This window comes from Homo sapiens, chromosome 11, assembly GCF_000001405.40.
Source record: "Homo sapiens chromosome 11, GRCh38.p14 Primary Assembly".
Taxonomy (NCBI): Eukaryota; Metazoa; Chordata; class Mammalia; order Primates; family Hominidae; genus Homo; species Homo sapiens.
In genome coordinates this window covers 96,120,753-96,141,123 of record NC_000011.10, presented here as the reverse complement: position 1 = coordinate 96,141,123, position 20,371 = coordinate 96,120,753, and the positions used below count along the sequence as shown (strand labels likewise).

Here is a 20,371-nt window from a genome sequence, read left to right as displayed (position 1 = left end):
TACCTAGGCTTATCTTAAGCCTTTGAGTATTGGATAACTAACAATAAAGATATGGTCAACAGTATGGTAAAGACAGGCCAAATATTACATGAGACATACTTATGCTAAGAAATGACTTGTTTGTCTGAAATTCAAATTTAACTAGGCATCCTATATGTTTACTTATTACATCTGGCCAACCTAGTCCTGAGTCAAAAGCAGCAAATAAAGCCATTTGAAAGACAGAGACAGTGATGTTCCTGTGTGTCCCTAAAATGACAGCTCCTAGCATGGCCCGTGATGGAATAAATGGAGCCAGTCAAGTGTATTTGACCTCCTTAGCCCATAGGCTTACCCTAATCCAGACTGGTGGGCTCTAGAGGGAGGAAGAGCCGCCTGACCCTCAAGTTCTAGACTCTGGAGGTATCTGTCATGTAGATCTGGAGTGGTGGAAGGTCCTTTGGGAACTACTGAACGATGGAGAGAGTGACGTCTAGGGGCAACACTGCTACCTCTGGCAGCACTGCTCCAGGCTATATCAACTGGAGCTGAGAAGTGCCTCTGCATGTAAGAGCTCTGGTATAAAGTCAGCAAAATTTAGAGAGTAGCTTCTTATGGTTTGCTCAAAGAAACTCCAAGATCTTGTCTTCTGCTGGCCATTCATCAAAATTGGCTTAGATTCATCTCAGCCTGTTCATGTTGGGCAGAAGGGCTGTGCCTTAGCCCAAAACTACATACCTCACCAGAGGCAATAACAGTGGTTTTAATGCTGTCTTTTCTTTCTCATCTATCTGGGCTGATTTTTAGCTTTTGAGGATCAAAGAACTAACAAGAAAAATATAACTTGTCAACAGTATGGTGAAGTCAGGCCAAAGCAAGAAGGTGAAAATGAATTGATATTAGCAGGGTAAGCAATTAATTTTCTTCCTTTAGTCCTGGCTTTTGTGCTTGCCACAAGTCTAATGGAGTACCAGATGAACCATGCCAATGCCTGGGCACTAATAACAAAACAAAAGCTGATAAAGATGGATAAAATCATCTATGGAGGCAGGAAGCAATTAACCACATAAAGAAAGTGAAACATCATCAATGATAAGCCTCAGCAGCAATTTACTTGGGTTTGAGAACTTTTCGTTCTGATGGTTTTCAATAAGTTTTCCTCATTTTCTGCAGCTTCCTTAATTCAATAGATTTTTTTAAAGATAGAATTATGCAGTCATTACTACCCACATACCCAGGCCTTCATTGCATCACGGAGAGTAGATGTGGGTGGAAAGAGTGGGAATAGGCAACAGAGACGGAAATTTCAAAGGCCCTTAATGTTTGCCTTTGCTTGAGTATTTTGTATTATTTTGGTCTTTGCCATCATCTGGTATTGCCCTGAGCTTCTGCACTGTCTTTATGAAAAACACTGAAAAACAACAGTTGTTGCTGACCAAAATGATTATGAGTAGGTAAAGGGGAGAGGTAGCCCCAGAGGTCAGATTTCCTGCTGTCAAATCACCTTTCTCTAGGGATCAAAAAATTATTGTGATTCTTGGTAAAGAATTTAACATGGTTGGGGATTTCTTATTCTCTCTTAAATATATCAAAAAAAAAAAAGGAACTGTTATATATCAAGTATTTGATATGATAATTGTTGGATACCACTGTCTTTTTTTTTTTTTTAAGACAGAGTCTCGCTCTGTCGCCCAGGCTGGAGTGCAGTGGTGGGATCTCAGCTCAGTGCAAGCTCTGCCTCCCAGGTTCACGCCATTCTCCTGCCTCAGCCTCCCCAGTAGCTGGGGCTACAGGCGCCCGCCACCACGCCCGGCTAATTTTTTGTATTTTTAGTAGAGACAGGGTTACACTGTGTTAGCCAGGATGGTCTCGATCTCCTGACCTCGTGATCTGCCCGCCTCGGCCTCCCACAGTGCTGGGATTACAGGTGTGAGCCACCACTGTCTTTTTTCAGTGGTGAGTGATAGGCCTAATGTATCTGATCGCTGTACAAAGTTGTATTAGGAAAGCTGATTTGGTTTGTGGAACATTACCAATATATATATGGAAAAAGGTTTTATTACCACATGGTTCTGGCATATCTTCCTTGTAAGGTATTGTAAGTATCAAATGACAAGGGAGTTCTGGAATTTACTACATGAGAAAGTATAACTAGTGACTTTTCATATTTTTGGAAGACTAAAGAAAAATTAAATTTTAGAATGGGTTGTGAAATCTCTTTCTTACCAGCATTTTATGGTAGAAGACAAGCATCTGCCCTCAAGTTTTAGAAAACTGGTCTATATAAAAGTAAGGGACTCAGCCAGATAAATCAAGCACCCTAGGACAATACAAAGTTGTCAGGAGGATTCCCAGGTTCTGGGGATCATAGAAACTCACCGATCTCTACCTGGAAAGCTTTTTGGGGCCTTCCTGGACTATGTCTCGGAGGTGCTTCCTGCTCAGGCATTTCCAAGTGAGGATGCATTATCAAACCCAGTCCCTGGTGGTTTACCCGGCAATCATTATTCACCAACCCCCCCATCTTTCTTACCCTCTCTGAATGCTGGCTGACCACTTGGGGGTAAGGAAAACAGGAAGAGTGCAATAAGATCGCCCATTAGCAGCCATTAGGAGTTCAACATTCATATCTCAGCAGTCACTGGAATAGATTTTTCATAAATTTCCTGAGCACCCTTGTGGAACACAATATAAGAGGCAGCCATTTTGCTCCCTCTTTTACAGATGGCATAAATAACTTCCTTTGGCCACAAAGCTTCAGAGTTAGGAGCTATACAAAGATCTCCTAGGCAAGGGGCAGTAATATGAGCTCAGGTGGCGGTCAGGTGGCTGTCTGGAAATCAGTACTTGAAGAGGGAGACAAAGGAATAGCTTTCAGGGATTCAGCCAACAAACACAGGTATCAGCATGGACGACAGGAAAGTATATTTTTCTTCATTTTTTGGCATTCCACCTTGCTTCATGTCACCATTTTTGGGTGTTCAAATCTTTGATTACAAAAGGAGGATCTTGAGGTATACAAAAAACCGGAATCCTGTGTTCTTATTAGCCTAAATATGTGAAGGACTTCTTTTGGCCCTAATAACGCCAAGTTAGCTAACATTTACCACAGTCATTTTTTAATCATTTGGTTCAAAATAGGAATGACAGAGGCCAAAAAGCCTACCAGTTATAAAGACATTGTTCTTGATGGATACAGGAATATTGTGGGGAAAAGGATGGAAAGGGGGAATTATTTCACTGAAAGAGACTACCCTTTCATATAATTAGCACATAAAAAAGATTGTTAAAAAATAACAGTCTTAGGAACCAAGTATTAAAGATCAATATATTTAATAATTTTCAGGTTTAATGCAATTATAAAATTCTAATTTTCTAATAATAATATTCATTATCCAAGTGATTAATATTAACCATAAACACCCACAGTTTCTTCTGTCTCCCCTGCCCACCGTCTTTCAGACACACTCACACAGTGTATGTGTAGTATATTAAAATGGAGACTGAATGGTCAATGAGTTTGTGGACAATACCATACTTGTTATTCTTTTTCCATCTGAAAGGCAAGAAACAAAGGAATTCCAAAGCTTAGATCATGTGAGGAAACTCTTTCTGGCTCCCAGTACATGTGTTGTCCAGTTCTTAAAATGCACAGGCTAAAGCAAACTTAAACTCTTATTCAAAGTCTTTGTTGAAGAGACAAAGGAATTGGGTTTTCCCTAAAGATTTTTCTAAACTAGTCAGATTTGCTTCTTTTGATCCAGGCGTGTAAGAGACAGTAAGAGAAATTTAGTCTTGGGAATCACTATTTTAAACAAAGGCCAAAAACAGTGGTGTCTATTTTTAAAGCCTCCTCATTTCTCCCCAGAACCAAGTGCAAGGTAATTTGAATTCGGTTTCCAGTCAATATGGTTAACCTGATTTCACTCTACAATTTAGCAGTCTGTTCTTTATACTTGATTTCTATGATATTAAGTGCATGCAACATTTCCTTCCCTTTTAACCCGGTTTCCACTTACAGTTTTCTGTGTATTTGAGATCTGTTTGGTGGCCTGCCTGAACTCATGGAAAATTGACGACACTGAAAGAGAATTGTTGTAGTTAAGCTTCCCTGATGGCATTTTTTAAAAAACAACAGTGGAAAAAAATAACAAGGCACTAGTCAGATGTGATTTTTGGCAGATACTTCACTCAAAGTGCTCAGGGCATCCCCAGAAATTATAACCCCTCAAAGATGTTCAGGGTACAGTAAATAAAGCAAGATACAATTATTTTAATGTTCATCCTATTGATTCAGTTCTCTTCTCTGCAAGGTCTTAGTAACAGGGATTTTGATCTAAGTGAAAGGTCAGCTTTGAAGTAAGTGTAAAGTTATTTACAGGAAATGAAGCAAAAAGTGGGCTTTCATGCATTTTGAAATTTCTTTATTATTGAGGAGAAAATGAACTGTGTCATCAGCTGAAAGAAAAACAGATGCCTAACTTCTCATATTAAAGTTAAATAAATACCTACCATACTAGAAGTATGCTATTAGCTCTGAAATTTGAAATTCACCATGGTCTGTTTTCCCCAACTTTGGATGTGAAAGCAGGAAATAAACAACTGTGAATTAAGGCTCTAAGTAACTATGTAGCAGTTGTAGTTTGGGGGGTGGGGGAAGACTGCCAACATGAGATAATCATGGTGGGGTTTTCTTTCCAATATGGGATGCTAAATAGACATTTGTGATAACTACATAATCAACAACATCTTTAAATATTTAATTTCTTGTCAGTTGTTATCTTAATTGACTTCAACTCATATGTATGTATGTGTGTATGTATTACATATATACATATAACTACATCTGTCAGAGGGAAGTGGCAAATTGAAGCAATTATGCGGCTCATTCTGCAAAGAAAAAAAAGGAAGAGGAGAAAACTGATGGTAAGTGGGAAAAGTTTAGATAATTGTGACTTACTGTATAGATTTATATTTAGATATAACCTGGACTTCTTCAAATAATTTATGTCTACCTATAGTCTTGGATTTCTTCATACTCTAGATCAAAACGTTGATTCCTAGATGTGTTTACATATCACGTATAATTGAGTTCACTGGCACCTCAGTGCAGGTCGGCTTGGTGCCATGCTGGTTTTCACTTAATGGGATTAGTTACTAAAGTTTAGTTCAAAATTAATTCATTTCAACAAAAATCTATTAAGTATCTACTGTGTCCCAAGCTCTTAGCTGGGTGCAAGGAGTCCACAGTTAATTTCAATATAATTTTTTTTTTTTTTTTTGAGATGGTGTCTCACTCTGTTGCCCAGGCTGGAGTGTAGTGGCATGATCTTGGCTCACTGCAACCTCCACCTCCCAGGTTCAGAGATGTATGTCACTATTAGGAATTAAGAATGCAGCCTTGAGCAGCGAGCCAGAAGAATCACTCCTCTAAAGATAGGAAAAAAATGCCAATTTTTAGGAAATAAAGCTACACAAATTGTAAGAAAAAGCTGACCTTTACTGTAAGTAATTATTCAGTTTTGTTTCATTCAGTTATCTATTTCCAGCACAAAAATACTATAAAATCATTACCACGGTTTAAAAAAAAAAAAAAAAAGCCTTGGATTGGGACCTCTCTTCTGCCACCTACTAGCTGAGTGAACTTTAAAAACTTAACATCTCTAAGTATCAGCTTCTTCCTCTGTAAAAGTGTAATAATAAGAAGAAATATCAGGCCTAACTGATAGGCCTGGTGTGAGGATGAAATGAGATAATGTATTGTCTTAGTCCGTTTTGTGTTGCTATAACAGAATACCTGAGACTGGGTAATTTATTAAGAATGAAGATTTATTTCTCACAGTTTTGGAGACTGGGAAGTCCAAGGGGCTGGCATCTTGTAAGGTGCCATCTTGCTGTGTCATACCGTGGTAGAAGATGGAAAGGCAAGAGATAAAGGGGGAACAGAGACAAAGTTATTATTTTATTAGGAACCCACGCCCATGATAACTAACTCACTCTCACAATAACAGCATTAACTCATTCATGAGGACTGTGCCTAATCACCTCTTAATGGTTTCACCTCTCAACACTTGCTTTGGGGATTAAGTTTCCAACACATGAACTTTGTGGGGCACATTCAAACCATAGCATGTTGCTAGTGCAATACCAGGCATTGGGTAAATGCTCAATATGTGTCCACTGTTATTATCATCCCTACTTCTGCTATAGCTGGGCAATCTAATGAACTGCAGAAGCTCTGGATGTAATGCCCTACACATGCCTGCAACTCGACTTTTAGAAGGAGAGTTTGGTTTATTCTCCTAATACATGATAGAGTAGCAAATGAGGAAATAGCAGTCAGTGGTATTTATGACTTTCCATGGTAACCATTTCTGTTTACCCCTCTTAGCTTGAGGAAATAAAAGCAATACTGGCTGGATTAGTTGAAACATGCCACTTACTTTTTACCACAATGTGGTAAGTAAAAGTAGAGAATATTATTATAAAATTTCTATGTATCAAGTAGCTGGACATGTTGAATAGAATTTGAAGGAAAGAAGTATAGACTAATTTACATACAGCAAAACTTCTTTGACTCTTTTTATTTCAGTATAGTATTTGAACAAGAGTTTGACTGCCTTCAAATATATGGGAAGCATGATCTTCTAAACAAATAAATAATCCCAGAATCCTGAAGTACTCACTAATGTTGTATAAGGAGGAAAGCACTAGAATCAGAGACATTTGATATCTTGCCTTAATTCATTAAAAATGCATCAAAAATGTATTATGTGCAAGGACTATTCCAGGCATTGGGGTACAATGAGGAATAAAGCAGGTGTGGTGCCTGCTTACCTGGAACTTTAGTAGTGGTGAGTAACACAATAGGTGAGAAACACAGTAAACAAGTAAACAAAGTAGTTTGTATTTATTTTGTAATAAGGACTTTAAAGGAAAAAATAGAGTCCTGTGTCCTGCCACTTAGCTGTATAATCTTCAGTAAGTCATATTCAGAGACTAATAGAATGTAAAGAAGTCTTAGAGAACCATTACAAAGACCTTATGAGCTATAAAGCACTAAACAACTACAAAGAATAATTGTCAGCAATGTCTAATTATAAACTGTTCTTTCTTTCTTTTTTCTGTTTTCTTTTTTTTTTCTTTTCAATGAGGCAGGGTCTTGCTCCGTTGCTCAGGCTGGAGTGCAGTGGCATGATCTCAGCTTACTGCAACCTCTGCCTCCTGGGCTCAAGTGATACTCCCACCTCAGCCTCTTGAGTAGCTGGGACTAGAGGCACATGCCATCACGCCCAGCTAATTTTTGTATTTTTTGTAGAGACAGGGTTTCACCATGTTGCCCAGGTTGGTCTCAAACTCCTGGGCTCAAGCAATCTGCCTGCCTCAGCCTCCCAAAGTGCTGGGATTATAGGCATGAGCCCCCATGCCTGGCCTATAAACCATTCTTATCTGGTAATATACACAGCCTTTAAAGGTTTCTATTGTATTCTCATACTCCTCATCTGAAGTACAAATATGTTTCTTAAAAACATAAAATATATTTCAATTAATATTCCATATTTTAATATTTTTATTTTCTTAAACTGTTTTTCTGCCAAGTCGATTGACCAAGAGAAGGCTGAATGTTCACACAGGTCTTTCATAGGGAAAATAATCCAGGTGTGTAATGACTGTATACGGGCTACCACTCCCATGCATGAAGACATGTAAATGGCTGAAAAATAGCAGATCTGGGTGCTTGCGAAATTTTAAAATCGATAAGAAAATGATAATAATGACTAATAAAAAATGATAAGAAAATGTAATATATTTTACTTTGCTTACCGATCTACATTCTCCCAAATGGCATTCAACAAAAATTGAAATCAGAATATAGGTTGCAGAACACTGACACAGGAATATATTTATTTTATATTAATAGAATGATTTCTTTTAATGGTTCCTTTTCAATGTGTTCATTATGTTTGAAATTTAAGTACCTTGGATAAAAGTTATCAAGAAATATCTTTATCCAGGAAAGCCTACTTGAGGGCGATGTTTTCTCTTACACATTCTGTATCCACATATCTCCTTGTAGATATCATGCAATGAAGAAGGCACTCACTATATATTATTGAATGAGATGTAACACTTAAGTAGACATATTTTAATTTTTACTCTAATATTGTATCCATAAGCATCAGAAAGTAGCAGTATGTTGGGCATGGTCATCATGTTACAGAATTTAATATAAATGTTATCAAACTTTCAGAAATAGCTCACATTGCCAAACTCAGAAGAGACTAATATATAAGCCCAAATACCACTTGGACTTTTACAATGAGAACTGTAACATACAGCAGTCCAGAACACCCAAATACACTGATGAATTAATCCTTTCCTACAGGTAGAGAGGACAAATTACAAGGTAAGTTACTTGTTAGATATGGAATCAGAGCTACAGTATTTGGTAGAAATATTGTCATGGCTGTTGTCAGAACGCTAAGAACACGCTATATCCATCTCCACTATAGGTTTATGTTTGCAGAATGACTCATATCTGTCTGTGAACAAGGCAAACACACATGAACAGATTCCTATTTTTGAGTTCTACTTTCTTGTTACTGTCATGCTGACCTTTCTGTTGTCATTCACATATTGTTTCTTCAGAGTATGTAAATCAAAGAATTACTCTATAACTTTATAAATGCAAAAATAACTATCTTTGCCAGTTTGTACTTGATATCTAAAATCTAAATGTGGTTAGTTCTGAGGTAATTAGACTTACTAGGGCATGCACTCTGGCAAACTATTGTCTGTCTTGTTCACTGCTGAATCCTTACTACCTTGCAGGCCTGGCACACAATAGGTCCTTAATAACTTATTTGTTGAATAAATGAATTAAAGGGTAAAAGGTACTGCAACAAATGCCTCACCTCATTTTGCATATTCATTTTTTCCTAATTTCCTGCTCATAGGCTAACTTTTTGGAGATCTTTTTCTGCACGTGACATGGGTGAGAACAAAATATGTACGTGCACACACCATGAGCTATGTATTCTATTTCTGTGCAAGACAGATGTGATCCTTGCCCACTAGGAAATTTTTACCTTAAAATGTACAATTCATTGGCTTTTTAGTATATTTTTATTTTTTGAGACAGAGTCTCACTCTGTTGCCCAGGCTGGAGTGCAATAGCACAGTCTCGGCTCACTGCAACCTCTACCTCCTGGGTTCAAGAGATTCTCCTACCTCAGCCTCCCAAGTAGCTGGGATTACAGGAGTGTGCCACCATGCCTGGCTAATTTTTGTATTTTTAGTAGAGACGGTGTTTCACCATGTTGGCCAGGCTGGTCTCGAATGCCTGACCTCAAGTTATCCACTTGCCTTAGCCTCTCAAAGTGCTGGGATTACAGGCATGAGCCACCACACCCAGGCAATTTTTAAAGTTGTGCAACCATCACCACTATCTAATTCTAGAACACTTCTATCACCCTATAAAGAAACTCCACGTCCCTTAGCAGTCACTCCTCATATTCCTGTTTTCATGGATTCCTGTAACTACTAATATACTTTCTGAATCTATCAGTTTGCCTATTCTTGGTATTTCATATAAACGCAATTGTAAGTATGTAGTTTATCCTGGAGAATGTTTCATGTACACTTGAGAAAAGCATATATTATTTTCTCAAGTGTACAACAAGTTGTTGTTAAGTATATGTTCTATATATGTCAGCTCTACTTGGTTTATAGTGTTGTAGAAGCTTTGTTTTCCCTTGTTTATCTTATGTCTAGTTGTTCTGTGCATTATTGAAAGTAGGGTTTTGAAATCTCAAACTATTTTTATTTTTATTATTTCTCCCTTCAATTCTGTGATTTTTTCACATGTTTTTAAGCTCTGTTTTCAGGTGCATATATATTTATAATTGTTATGTCTTCTAGGTGGATTAAGCCTTTTGTCATTCTTTGCCTTTATGTATGCTGTTCTCTTTCCCAGGAATGTCTGGAGTATCTTTTTATTTCTACCCTGGACCCTGCTGATATTTTACCCATTCTCCCAACATACATCTTAAATAGTGTTTATTTTGAGGTAGTTCTCAGACTTTCTGGTAGTTGTGATTACTCTCGCTACAGATTTTGTATAGCTCTGTTATGAAATTTATGCTTTTGTCTTTCTACCCCTAATTAAAGGGATTGTTTCATCTTTGTACCTCATTCCATGCCTAGTATGGTAGGCATTTAATAAATATTTCTAACATAGAAAAAGAATTAGGTTTTTTTGGATGGTCCTAGACAATTGGTGTAGGACAAAGGGTAGAAGTTAATAGGAAGCGTATTTTAGTTCCATTTTTTAAAGAAAAGAAAATAACGTTTTAATTACTAAAAAAAAAAAAATCAGAATAAACAATTTGGTCAAGTAAAATATTTCCCTCCAAGTAGTTAAGGCAAAGACTGAAGGACCATTTGTAGGAAATGGAGAATCTTTCTATTTAGAATTTTAAAATCTTAAATTTTTTTCCTTGTAAAGAAATCTCAAGCCTTGAGTGTAAGAATGGCAGATGTTCTAACTATAGCAAATAATTCTTAAACGCAACTAAAATCCAACTTATAGATTTTACTTCATCTTTCGTGTCCCTAGATTGGATCCTTTCTTCAAGATTAAAACAGCAAGCCATGGTACATATTATGGCTTGGCAAGCTTAGAGCATTTTGGAATCTTCTTACTTATCCCTCTCTAACTTCTTGCCAACTGGAAGATTGTGATGAGACAGGAGGTAGAGAAAGCTGTTGAGTGAGGAAGCAGAAAGAAGTATCACATATCCTTCTTGAGTTTCTGAACCATGTTATGATTTCACTAGAAAAATGACACCCTTTTGGAAGTCCCCTTGAGAGGAGTGGACTTAGTGAAGCAGGTGGATCCTCTGGTTTATCTTCTGCACAAGAAGCCCTGCCTGGGAGAACTGACAGCCTTTTTGGAGTCCAAGTGCCAAACACCCACACACACAGCAAATGCCAGGAAGATAATCTTCACATTAGGTGATAGAGCTGAAATATTCCACAGGCTTATATCTCCATAGCTGTGGAACATTTTATCTGCCCATTATTTTGTTCAGTTATGGTCTCAGAATCATTATAATATACCTGGGCTAGTATAATCTTGAGGTAATGTCCTTGTACTCAGCTGCAAGATGGTAACTTTCCATTATACCTAGTAGTTCTTAGCCTTGGCTGAAGGTTAGATCCAAATGGGGAGCTTTAAAAATTACTGATAGTTGGGAAGCAGTAAACCAAATATTGCATGTTCTCACTTATAAGTGGGAGCTAACCATGGGTACACATGGACATAAAGATGGGAACACACCAGGGACTCCAAAAGTAGGGACAGAGGAGGAGGAGTAAGGGCTGAAAAACTTCCTGTTGAGTACTGTGTTCACTATCTGGATGTTGGGATCAAGAGAAGCTGAACCTCAGCATAACACAATATACCCTTGGAACAAATCTGCACATGTACCACCTGAATCTAAAATAAAAATTTAAATAAAAACAAAACAAAACAAAACAAAAAATTACCCATAGTTGTGTCCCACTACCCACCCCTCCCCCTATTTGGATTTAGTTTGTGTGGATTTCAGCACAGGTGTTGGTATTTTCAAAAGTGCTCCCAGATGATTCTAGCATGCAGCCAAGGGTATAAAGTAATGATCTAGAACAGTGGTTTGCAAATTGTGGTTCCTGGATGAGCAGCATCAGCATCACATGGAAACTTGTTAGAAATCCGGATTCTTAGGCCCACCTCAGACCTGAAACTCTAGAGGTAGAGCCCAGCAATCTGTGTTTTAAAAAGTCCTCCAGGTGAACCACTGGTCTATAATGAAGAGACCTCTTCTTTACTTATTTTTAGAACATCTTTTTTGAAGGAAAAGAAAAAGTGAGAATCTGACCAATTCAGTGTATGTATGTTCAAGGTGGGGTGCCATTTTTCAGACTGGTATAGAATAATGCAAATCTCTAAGTTGAACATAACGGCTGCCCTGAGCACCTTTTTTCCATGTATGATTATTGGTAAATCTTGAGTTAGATACTGTCCAGTAGATTTGTGCCATGTAGATGGCTAATCTGGCTAATGTATAGATTACCCCCATCCCCCAGATACATGCACGCAAAATGCCTAACAATGGATTGTCCTCAAAAATAGACTATACTGTAAAATTTCAGCCTGAGCCATACTGAGACTCCATGTTTTATATAAATAACAATTTTGGACTTCACTCATACTCTATACTTTTTTCGTCAATGCCACCTGCCAGTAGAATTCTGGTTTGCCTTGAGTTGACAGATTTACATTTGATTTATGCTTCATTCATTGCTAAAGAGTAAAGATCACTTAAATGCCATTTTGCCCTGTGATGAAACATGTCACTAACTCTACATTTGAGCTGTTTCCATGTTTACTTGTTTATTGAGTTATTTACGTGTTTATGAAGAGTGGTAATTGTAAATTGAGAGCACAATCCCACAAAAGGTATTGGAGAGCCCTAGGTGCACCATGCCATGTAAACCTGATAAATAGGAAGCTGTGTAATATCTTAGTGTCAGCAAACTCTAACACCAGTGTCAGTGGGACAGATCATGTGTGTGTCAAGCAAGAAGATGGTGTGGCATATAAGGTTGATATGTATATGATGATACCAATAAGCAAATGATGAAACAAACAAAGGCCTTCCTTCTCAAGATTTGGTGTGTGAACTAGGAGTATTTTTTTTTCCCGAGACTGAGCCTCCCACTGTCTGTTGCCCAGGCTAGAGTGCAGTGGCATGATCTTGGCTCACTGCAACCTCCGCCTTCCAGGTTCAAGCAATTTTCCTGTCTCAGCCTCCCAAGTAGTTGGGACTACAGGCATGAGCCACCACACCCGGCTAATTTTTGTATTTTTAGTAGAGATGGGGTCTCACCATATTCGTCAGGCTGATCTCAAACTCCTGACCTCAGGTGATCCACCCGCCTCGGCCTCCCAAAGTGCTGGGATTACAGACGTGAGCCACTGCACACGGCTGGATTAGGAGTATTGATAGCACCTGGGAGCTTTTTAGACCCAGACACCCAGTCCGCATCCTGTACCTGCTGAATCAGAATCTACATGGTAACAAGATATCCAGGTGACTTGTATACACACTAAGGTTTGAGAAGCACTAAGCTAGTGATTGTTTCATAAACAGTGTCTATTTTCTTCTTGCATTACTGGATTTGAACATGCCACTTCTAAAGCAAGCAGTCTGTGGTTCTCTCCATTCTGACGTTTCCAATGGAAACAGTAGGGCCACTAGGATGGGAAGTCAGCAGGAACAGCTGACCAAGAAAGGAAGTTTAGGTTGAACAAAGGTTTGCTTCATTTTTATTGCCCCTGGAGGAAGAACAATACTGTACAGAAGCTGTTAATGATGGGCTGGATTCGAAGGCAGTAATCTGTGCCAAAATCCAAATGTGTTTTTACTCTAAACTTCTCTCCAGATGTCTAGTTATACTCCAAAATTTCCAGCTGGTTAGAACCCCATAGAAATGGCTGGTCACTAAAACATATTTAAATATAAAATATATCCCTATTAACTTCATTTGCAATTTCTTCTACTCTTTTAATAATTTCATTAACTTCCATTAGCCAGCAAATTATTTGGCGCTGATGGAAAATGTCTAGTTGACCTTGATGGAGAGATTTTAGTGGAGACTCTGCTCTGTTTAACAGCTCACTCAGGTAACTATGGCAACTCTCCATTTCAGTTATGAACATGTCATACAAATCCTAAGTGAAAACAGCCTCAGCCTATCAATCCTTTTTAATAAGTAATCTAACAATAGTGGACCATTCAATCCAGAGAAAAGACTTTCTTTTAACTGAGCAATAATTGAAATGGCACTATGCAGGGAGAGCTATGATCTTAACATATTGGCCAACCTGTTAGCATGATTTCCTTGTGCACACTTCAACAAATCACCCATCCAGTTGAAACAGATAAAGAGAAACCACATGTAACTGCTTAGGTAATTTTGCCCATCAACACTCTGCACCTTTCAAGCTGAACTTTACGAATGGTTTCAAGAAACAGTGGGTGTGGTTTCCCTAATTTGCAGATGGAAACACCAACACCGGGTCAACAAGTGATGAGACTGTGTTCTATGGCAGCCTGTAGGAACCGCACCTGAGATGACTGCACTGGCCATACTGCTCAAGCCTTTTTCTCATACCTACCATTTGACCCCCCCCATGTCCATACCACATGCACTGTCATCACGCTTAGTTCTCCATGTTTTTTTGTGTTGTTCACCACTATATCCTAAGGGCCTAGCAAGGTGTCCAGCGCATGAGAACTGCTCAATGACATTTGTTGAATGAATCAATGAATATATAATTGGATTTATATTGTTTTTCAGCCAATTTGCAATAGTTGTCCTCCTCTGTGCTTTCAAAGCGCTTCCCAGTCTCTAAGATCCAATTCAAGCACAATGTGCTGCCTGAAGCCTCTTTAATTTTCAGTCTAAACTAACACCTCGTCATCAGAATCCGGATACAGTACTTGCTTTCTCTACTATTCTATTTTTTTGTTTTGTGAGATGGAGTCTCGCTCTGTTGCCCAAGCTGGAGTGCAGTGGTGTGATCTGGGCTCACTGCAAGCTCCGCCTCCTGGGTTCAAGTGATTCTCTTGTCTCAGCCTCCCAAGTAGCTAGCTGGGACTACAAGTGTATGCTACTACACCTGGCTAATTTTTGTATTTTCAGTAGAGACAGGGTTTCACCATATTGGTCAGGCTTGTCTGGAACTCCTGACCTCAGGTGATCCACCCGCCTCAGCCTTCCAAAGTGCTGGAATTACAGGAGTGAGCCACCAAACCGGGCCTCTCTGCTATTGTTTTTACTGCTGTCATTTTCTCTCAGAAAATCTTACATTCTTGTTTCTATACTTTATCTTCTCAACACTCTGAGTTCCAGAAGACCAGTGACAATGTCCTATATCCCTCAGATCTCCCAGCATAACACCTTGCACATCCAGATGCTGACTACATAGTTAGGGCTTATAAGTCAGCATGTCACGAAAGTATTACGACCGTATCAGAAGGAAAGCTTTTTCCTGGTGTACCAGGAAAGGCTCCACTTGAAGTCTGAGTTCTTGTTCTGAATGTGAATTTGGGGTTTCTGTAGGCCAGGGACCATAATGGGCCTCTTTGCCACTCTTGTTCTGCCCACTAGCACAATTACAACCAGAATCTACGCCCTTTGCTTCTCAGCAGGTAAATGTCCCATAAAGAACGCTTTGATCCCTAACTTTCTACATCAGCCTCATGGCCAAATTCATATTATTGCTGGGTCTAATGCTGTACAAAAAAAGCCTTTCTGGATTATGACAAGGAAAGGGAAGAGGAGATGATTAAGAGCCTTATTTTAGGCTTCTCTCACTGGAGGACCTTTACTCATTGCCTTTCACTTCACCATTAGTAACATGTCAAGAGCTGCTTGGATCATAAATAACACGAACCGTTCATGGCACGGAGAGCAGAGAACAGGCAGATAGTACTGACACACGTAGGATTTCGTAATATGTGTGCCAACCCAGCACACACACTGCAGAACCTGCTTCTCCCCTGTCCACTTGCCCAGACCCTGGAGAGACTGGGTACACAGATGTCAGGATTCTCTTTTGTAAAACTGACGTTTGTCTGGTGGGGGTCAGAGCCTTCCAGCGGTAGCCACCCACTTGTGTTACAGATGTCACCTCATGCCTCTCCTGCACCTTCCCCTAACAAGTCTCAGATGCTGAGACTTGGAGATGGGAAGAGTATTTTTGCACCATCTCTGCACAGTGTGGCTCAGGGACCTCACAGCCTAAAGGTCACCCTGTGCAAGGCAAAGTGCTCCTGCTTGAATAACCACAGTCTTTGTCCAGTGTCTATCTCTTCCCTCTCAGTTTATTTGCTTCTCTGCCTCTACCCCTAAGAATCTGTATAAATAATGAGCTTCTCAGGTCATTCAAGGGCAACTCATTAACTCCCTTAGGAAAAGCCAGCAATGTCTTTTCTTCCAAAGTGGTGGCTTAATGGCCACAAGCAGATAATGCTTTATAAAAAGGTAATAATAAAATAATAAAATGACTCTCATGTGATATGTAACAAAAGGCCCAATTTAGGAGACAGGTGTCAATTAATGCGGCCATCACTCATTCTTACCAGTGGATGACACAGGAGGAAACAGAAGCCAAAGAACCTAGGATTGAGAATATCTTGAGAAAGCTGCATCTGAGCATAATACATAAGCAGCTTCTTTTTGCAAATCATGGCAGGTTTTGCATTTGATTCCTCGTTCTACATGGACCCTTTTAAGTATTTTCCTGATCGGTGGTCCTTCTTCCCTCCTCTCATGCCCTTTCACGAGGTGTATGCACATCCGTTCATGTGCAGTCTCTCTCTCTCTCTGTCTCACACACACGCACACACACGCGTGTGTTTAAATAGACAAAATCATAATGATGGTAGTGATGATGATGATGATAAGGAGAAGGAGGCCTGGTGTCTACAGAACTTTATCCTTTGAGTGTGCATTTTCATGGATTAACTCAATAAATGTTTAAAACAACTCAATCATCTTTGTTAGGTAAAGTAAGTGTTATGGTTTACATTTAACAGATGAGGAAATTGGGGCTGACTTGTTAAAAAAATAGTAGTAAAGCCAGGATCAGACTATCTTTCTATTCTTCTTCTTAGGTGGTTCTCTTACCATAGCACACTGGAATCAAACCAGAGAACATCCTGTGTCGTAATTACTGGCTAACACACCACTCCTCCCCACCTAGCTGTGAGTGTTCAAAGGCAGAGACAGGTCTTATTCATGCCTATCTCCCACTTCCAACACAGAGGAACGCTGTGTATGGAAGAGAGGGAGAGAAGATAAATGCCTTCTGGAACATTGGTAGAAACAGAACCTAGAGGAAATAGTGTAGGAATCAGTGGGCCACAGAACTGTGACAGCCATTTCTAAATCACGACACCTGCTGGGTTTACTCCTTTTTTTTTTTTTTTTTTTTTGAGACAGAGTTTTGCTCGTTGCTCGTTGCTGGTTGCTCGTTGCTCGTTGCCCAGGCTGGAGTATAGTGGCCCGATCTCGGCTCACTGCAACCTCCGCCTCCCGGGGTCAAGCGACTCTCCTACTACAGCCTCCCGAGTAGCTAGGATTACAGGTGCGTGCCACCATGCCCGGCTAATTTTTGTATTATTAGTAGAGACGGGTTTTCACCATGTTAGGCTAGTCTCAAACTCCTGACCTCAGGTGATCCACCTACCTCGGCCTCCCAAAGTGCTGGGATTACAGGCGTGAGCCACCATGCCGGCCGGGTTACTCTTAATTTCTGTCTGTGAAGCCGATGTCCTCCTCCCTCCCTTCCCCATCTGTGCACACTGTTCCTCAGCTTACAGAAGTCTCTTATTTATAAAGGCTGCAGTGGCTGCTAATTCCCTTGTTTCCTACCTCACCACTTGGTGATTCCAGAGGAAACTCTGAATAACTGGTGCAACCTTACTATAAAGCAGGCTCTAAAAATGTCATCATATCTGAATTCAGACTTCTCTGTACAGGACGGAAGCACCGTAGCCTAGTTGGGGGCACTGCATGTGACCACAAAGCTAGACACGTGTGGGCTATTAACCACATCAAAGGCAAATGGTAAATTGCCAGCCCCTTTATTCAACAAGCATTACTGGGCTCTTACTAGGTGCAAGTCTCTGGATGAGTTGCGGAGGACTCCATGAACACCCAGGTGAGCTCCCTGACCTGGAGGAGCTGTCACCTGTAGAAGCAGGCAGATACGTGAAAAAAAAAAAAGACTGTAAATGTCTCTCAAGCACACCTTGCTCAGGTATATTGTGATGGCATTTTTTTGGAGATCTAGTGGTTCCTGCCTTTACGGGGCTGCTTAGGAGCTGGCTATGACTGCAGTCAATGGTGTGGAAGGATGGGGATTGAAAGAAGAATGCTTCCAGCAGTGGGGGCAGTAAGACAGTGTGAGAGAAACAGACATGGGCATCTCATCATCTTAGATCTCCTTCCTTGATTGTCCTGTGCACAAAAGTATCCAGGAGTAGAAGGCTGGACTCTCAGCATTGAATGGTTTTGAATAGATGGATTCAGCCAGCCCATGAGTCAACTACAGTCCCTGAAAGGGAATGACATCACTCAGAAATCCTTGCTCATCATGCCCATCAGGCAAGTGGGTATTAGACCTGCTGTTCCAGCACCAACACCTTAAAGGATATTCACTATGCATAATGCAGGGGCTTGCAGCTTGTATTTCCTCTGCCCTGGCCATGATCGTGGATCACATTTCACTTACATGGGGCTTTCTGAGAACGAGACTGGGCATGTAAAGAATGGTATAATTGAGCTTTTCCCTCTTGGCTGGAATCTGTGGTTGCATTCCCTCTAAACCACACAGAATTCTGATTTGCTGCCTTGGATTTTACAGGGTCCTCTGTGAAAAATAAAAGCCTACAGGTGTGATAGTTTACTGCAGCCTTGGAGATAGAATTTCTTATGACTGAATTGCTTATATTTTCTATGGGGAAAAAATCTCATACACAAACATGCACGTGCACGTGCACACACACACACACACACACACACACACACACCCAGCCTAAAAGATTTGTATTTGTCCTACATCCATTTCTTATGCAACTCCCTTCTTTGACTTTCTTTCCCGTTCTTTATGACTGCTCCACAGAACCCATATACAGTAGGGCACTTAAGTAGGCTGAAGGATTTTCTGCAGCTCCAGGGGAGAGCAGAAGAGTTTGGAGAATCACCCTAGAGGAAAAAAAAAAAATCTGCAGGTTTTCCACCCCTTTAGTAGAGAATTAGGTTTTAGAAATTCAGAGAGATTATCTGCAAGTCAGGAGGCCAAAGCATAGCTGTATCTACATGGCTGGAGAATTGTGAGCTTTTCTGTGCTGTCGCCCCAGGGCAGTAGTTAACATACACAGGTCAGTTCTCAGGCCAGTTAAAATCATAGCAGACAGGGGCCGGGCGGGGTGGCTCACGCCTGTAATCCGAGCACTTTGGGAGGCCGAGGCAGGCGGATCACGAGGTCAAGAGATCGAGACCATTCTGGCTAACACAGTGAAACCCCGTCTCTACTAAAAAATACAAAAAAAAAAAAAAAAAAAAAAAAAAAAAAAAGCCGGGCGTGGTGGCGGGTGCCTGTAGTCCCAGCTGCTAGGGAGGCTGGAGCAGCAGAATCGCGTGAACCCGGGAGGCGGAGCTTGCAGAGAGCCGAGATCGCGCCACTGCACCCCAGCCTGGGTGACAGAGCAAGACTCCGTCTCAAAAAAAAAAAAAAAAAAAAAAAATCACGCAGTTGGGAATATGGAATGGACACAAAATTAAGGGCATTGCTTTCCCATTTCTGCCTTTCTAGTCTTCTCTCTTTTTTTTCTTTATGTTGCGAAAAAGAATGCCTCACTGTGGTGACCTGAAAGATGCCAGAGCACTAGCCCATTAATCAGAACAATTTTATATTAATACTGGATGAGTTCATTATGATTAATAAGGAATACTTTGATAAGCTGAAATTTAAATTTGAAGCAAGGCAAAAATAATATGGTGCTTCTCTGAAGCATGTTTATTGAGGGTTTATTGACACTTCACCAAAGTACATGTCTGTTAAATGTTTTTTGCCATGTGCTAATAATATCCACTGGACAAATCCAATTCTTTCCTTCCTGTTACTGGGGAATCATGTCTCCTTGTGTTAATGGCTTCCCCCATAGCAGGCAGTTCAAGCTATAATTGAACAAATATTGAACGTCTATATCTCAGTGGAAATATACTGTAATGAATATCCCTGGGAGTCTGCTTATTTCTGACCAAGATCTGAGACCACTGGGGTGCCAGAGACTCTGAGAAGCCAGCGTCTCCCAGGGCCAAAGATGGGGTTTGGATTCTCTTCAAGGCTGGTGCGGAGTAGGGGATCTAGGAACCTTTCTCTCTCTCTCAGAAATGAGCCTGTGACCTGGAATAGCATCCAAAGTATCCTTCACTCCCCCCTGACTCTGGCTGCCTTCAGATTACTACTTTTTCGTTAGTTATGAATCTGGCTACCTCCCAAGGGACTGTTGCACCATTTTCCCATCTTGTAGGTTCAAAATCACAGCACTTGCCCTAGAATTACTGAGTAGAGCAAGACACTATCCCTTGAGCGATTTGGAGGCAAGAACTAAGGAAACATGAGGATCTTTGTAATTTAACTGCATTCTTCGGTTTCTCCTTTAGACTCTGAGAATCCTCATCCTCTAGGTCAGTGGTTTCCAAACCTCACTGATCATCATCATCATCATCCAGGGACTCTTTTAAAAATACAATTCTTGGTCCCCACTTG

The 20,371-nt window shown here is 40.2% G+C and overlaps 1 protein-coding gene across 3 annotated transcripts in view, besides 2 other annotated features; it reads left to right on the top strand.

The window, feature by feature from the left end:
* The window catches only part of MAML2 (mastermind like transcriptional coactivator 2), a 366,598-nt gene that overhangs the window by 202,072 nt on the left and 144,155 nt on the right, over positions 1 to 20,371 (top strand). The window lies entirely within an intron of this gene.
* Positions 15,762 to 15,906: an enhancer, noted in NCBI's record as "145 bp enhancer 300 fragment used in the MPRA reporter construct; PK_construct_2025". NCBI's record gives its function as "activates an SV40 promoter by MPRA in HepG2 cells {active_cell/tissue: HepG2}" and the evidence as "EXISTENCE:reporter gene assay evidence [ECO:0000049][PMID:23512712]".
* Positions 15,828 to 15,841: a transcriptional cis regulatory region, noted in NCBI's record as "HNF4 motif; enhancer activity is reduced when this motif is scrambled". NCBI's record gives its function as "necessary for full MPRA enhancer 300 activity {active_cell/tissue: HepG2}" and the evidence as "EXISTENCE:site-directed mutagenesis evidence [ECO:0005528][PMID:23512712]".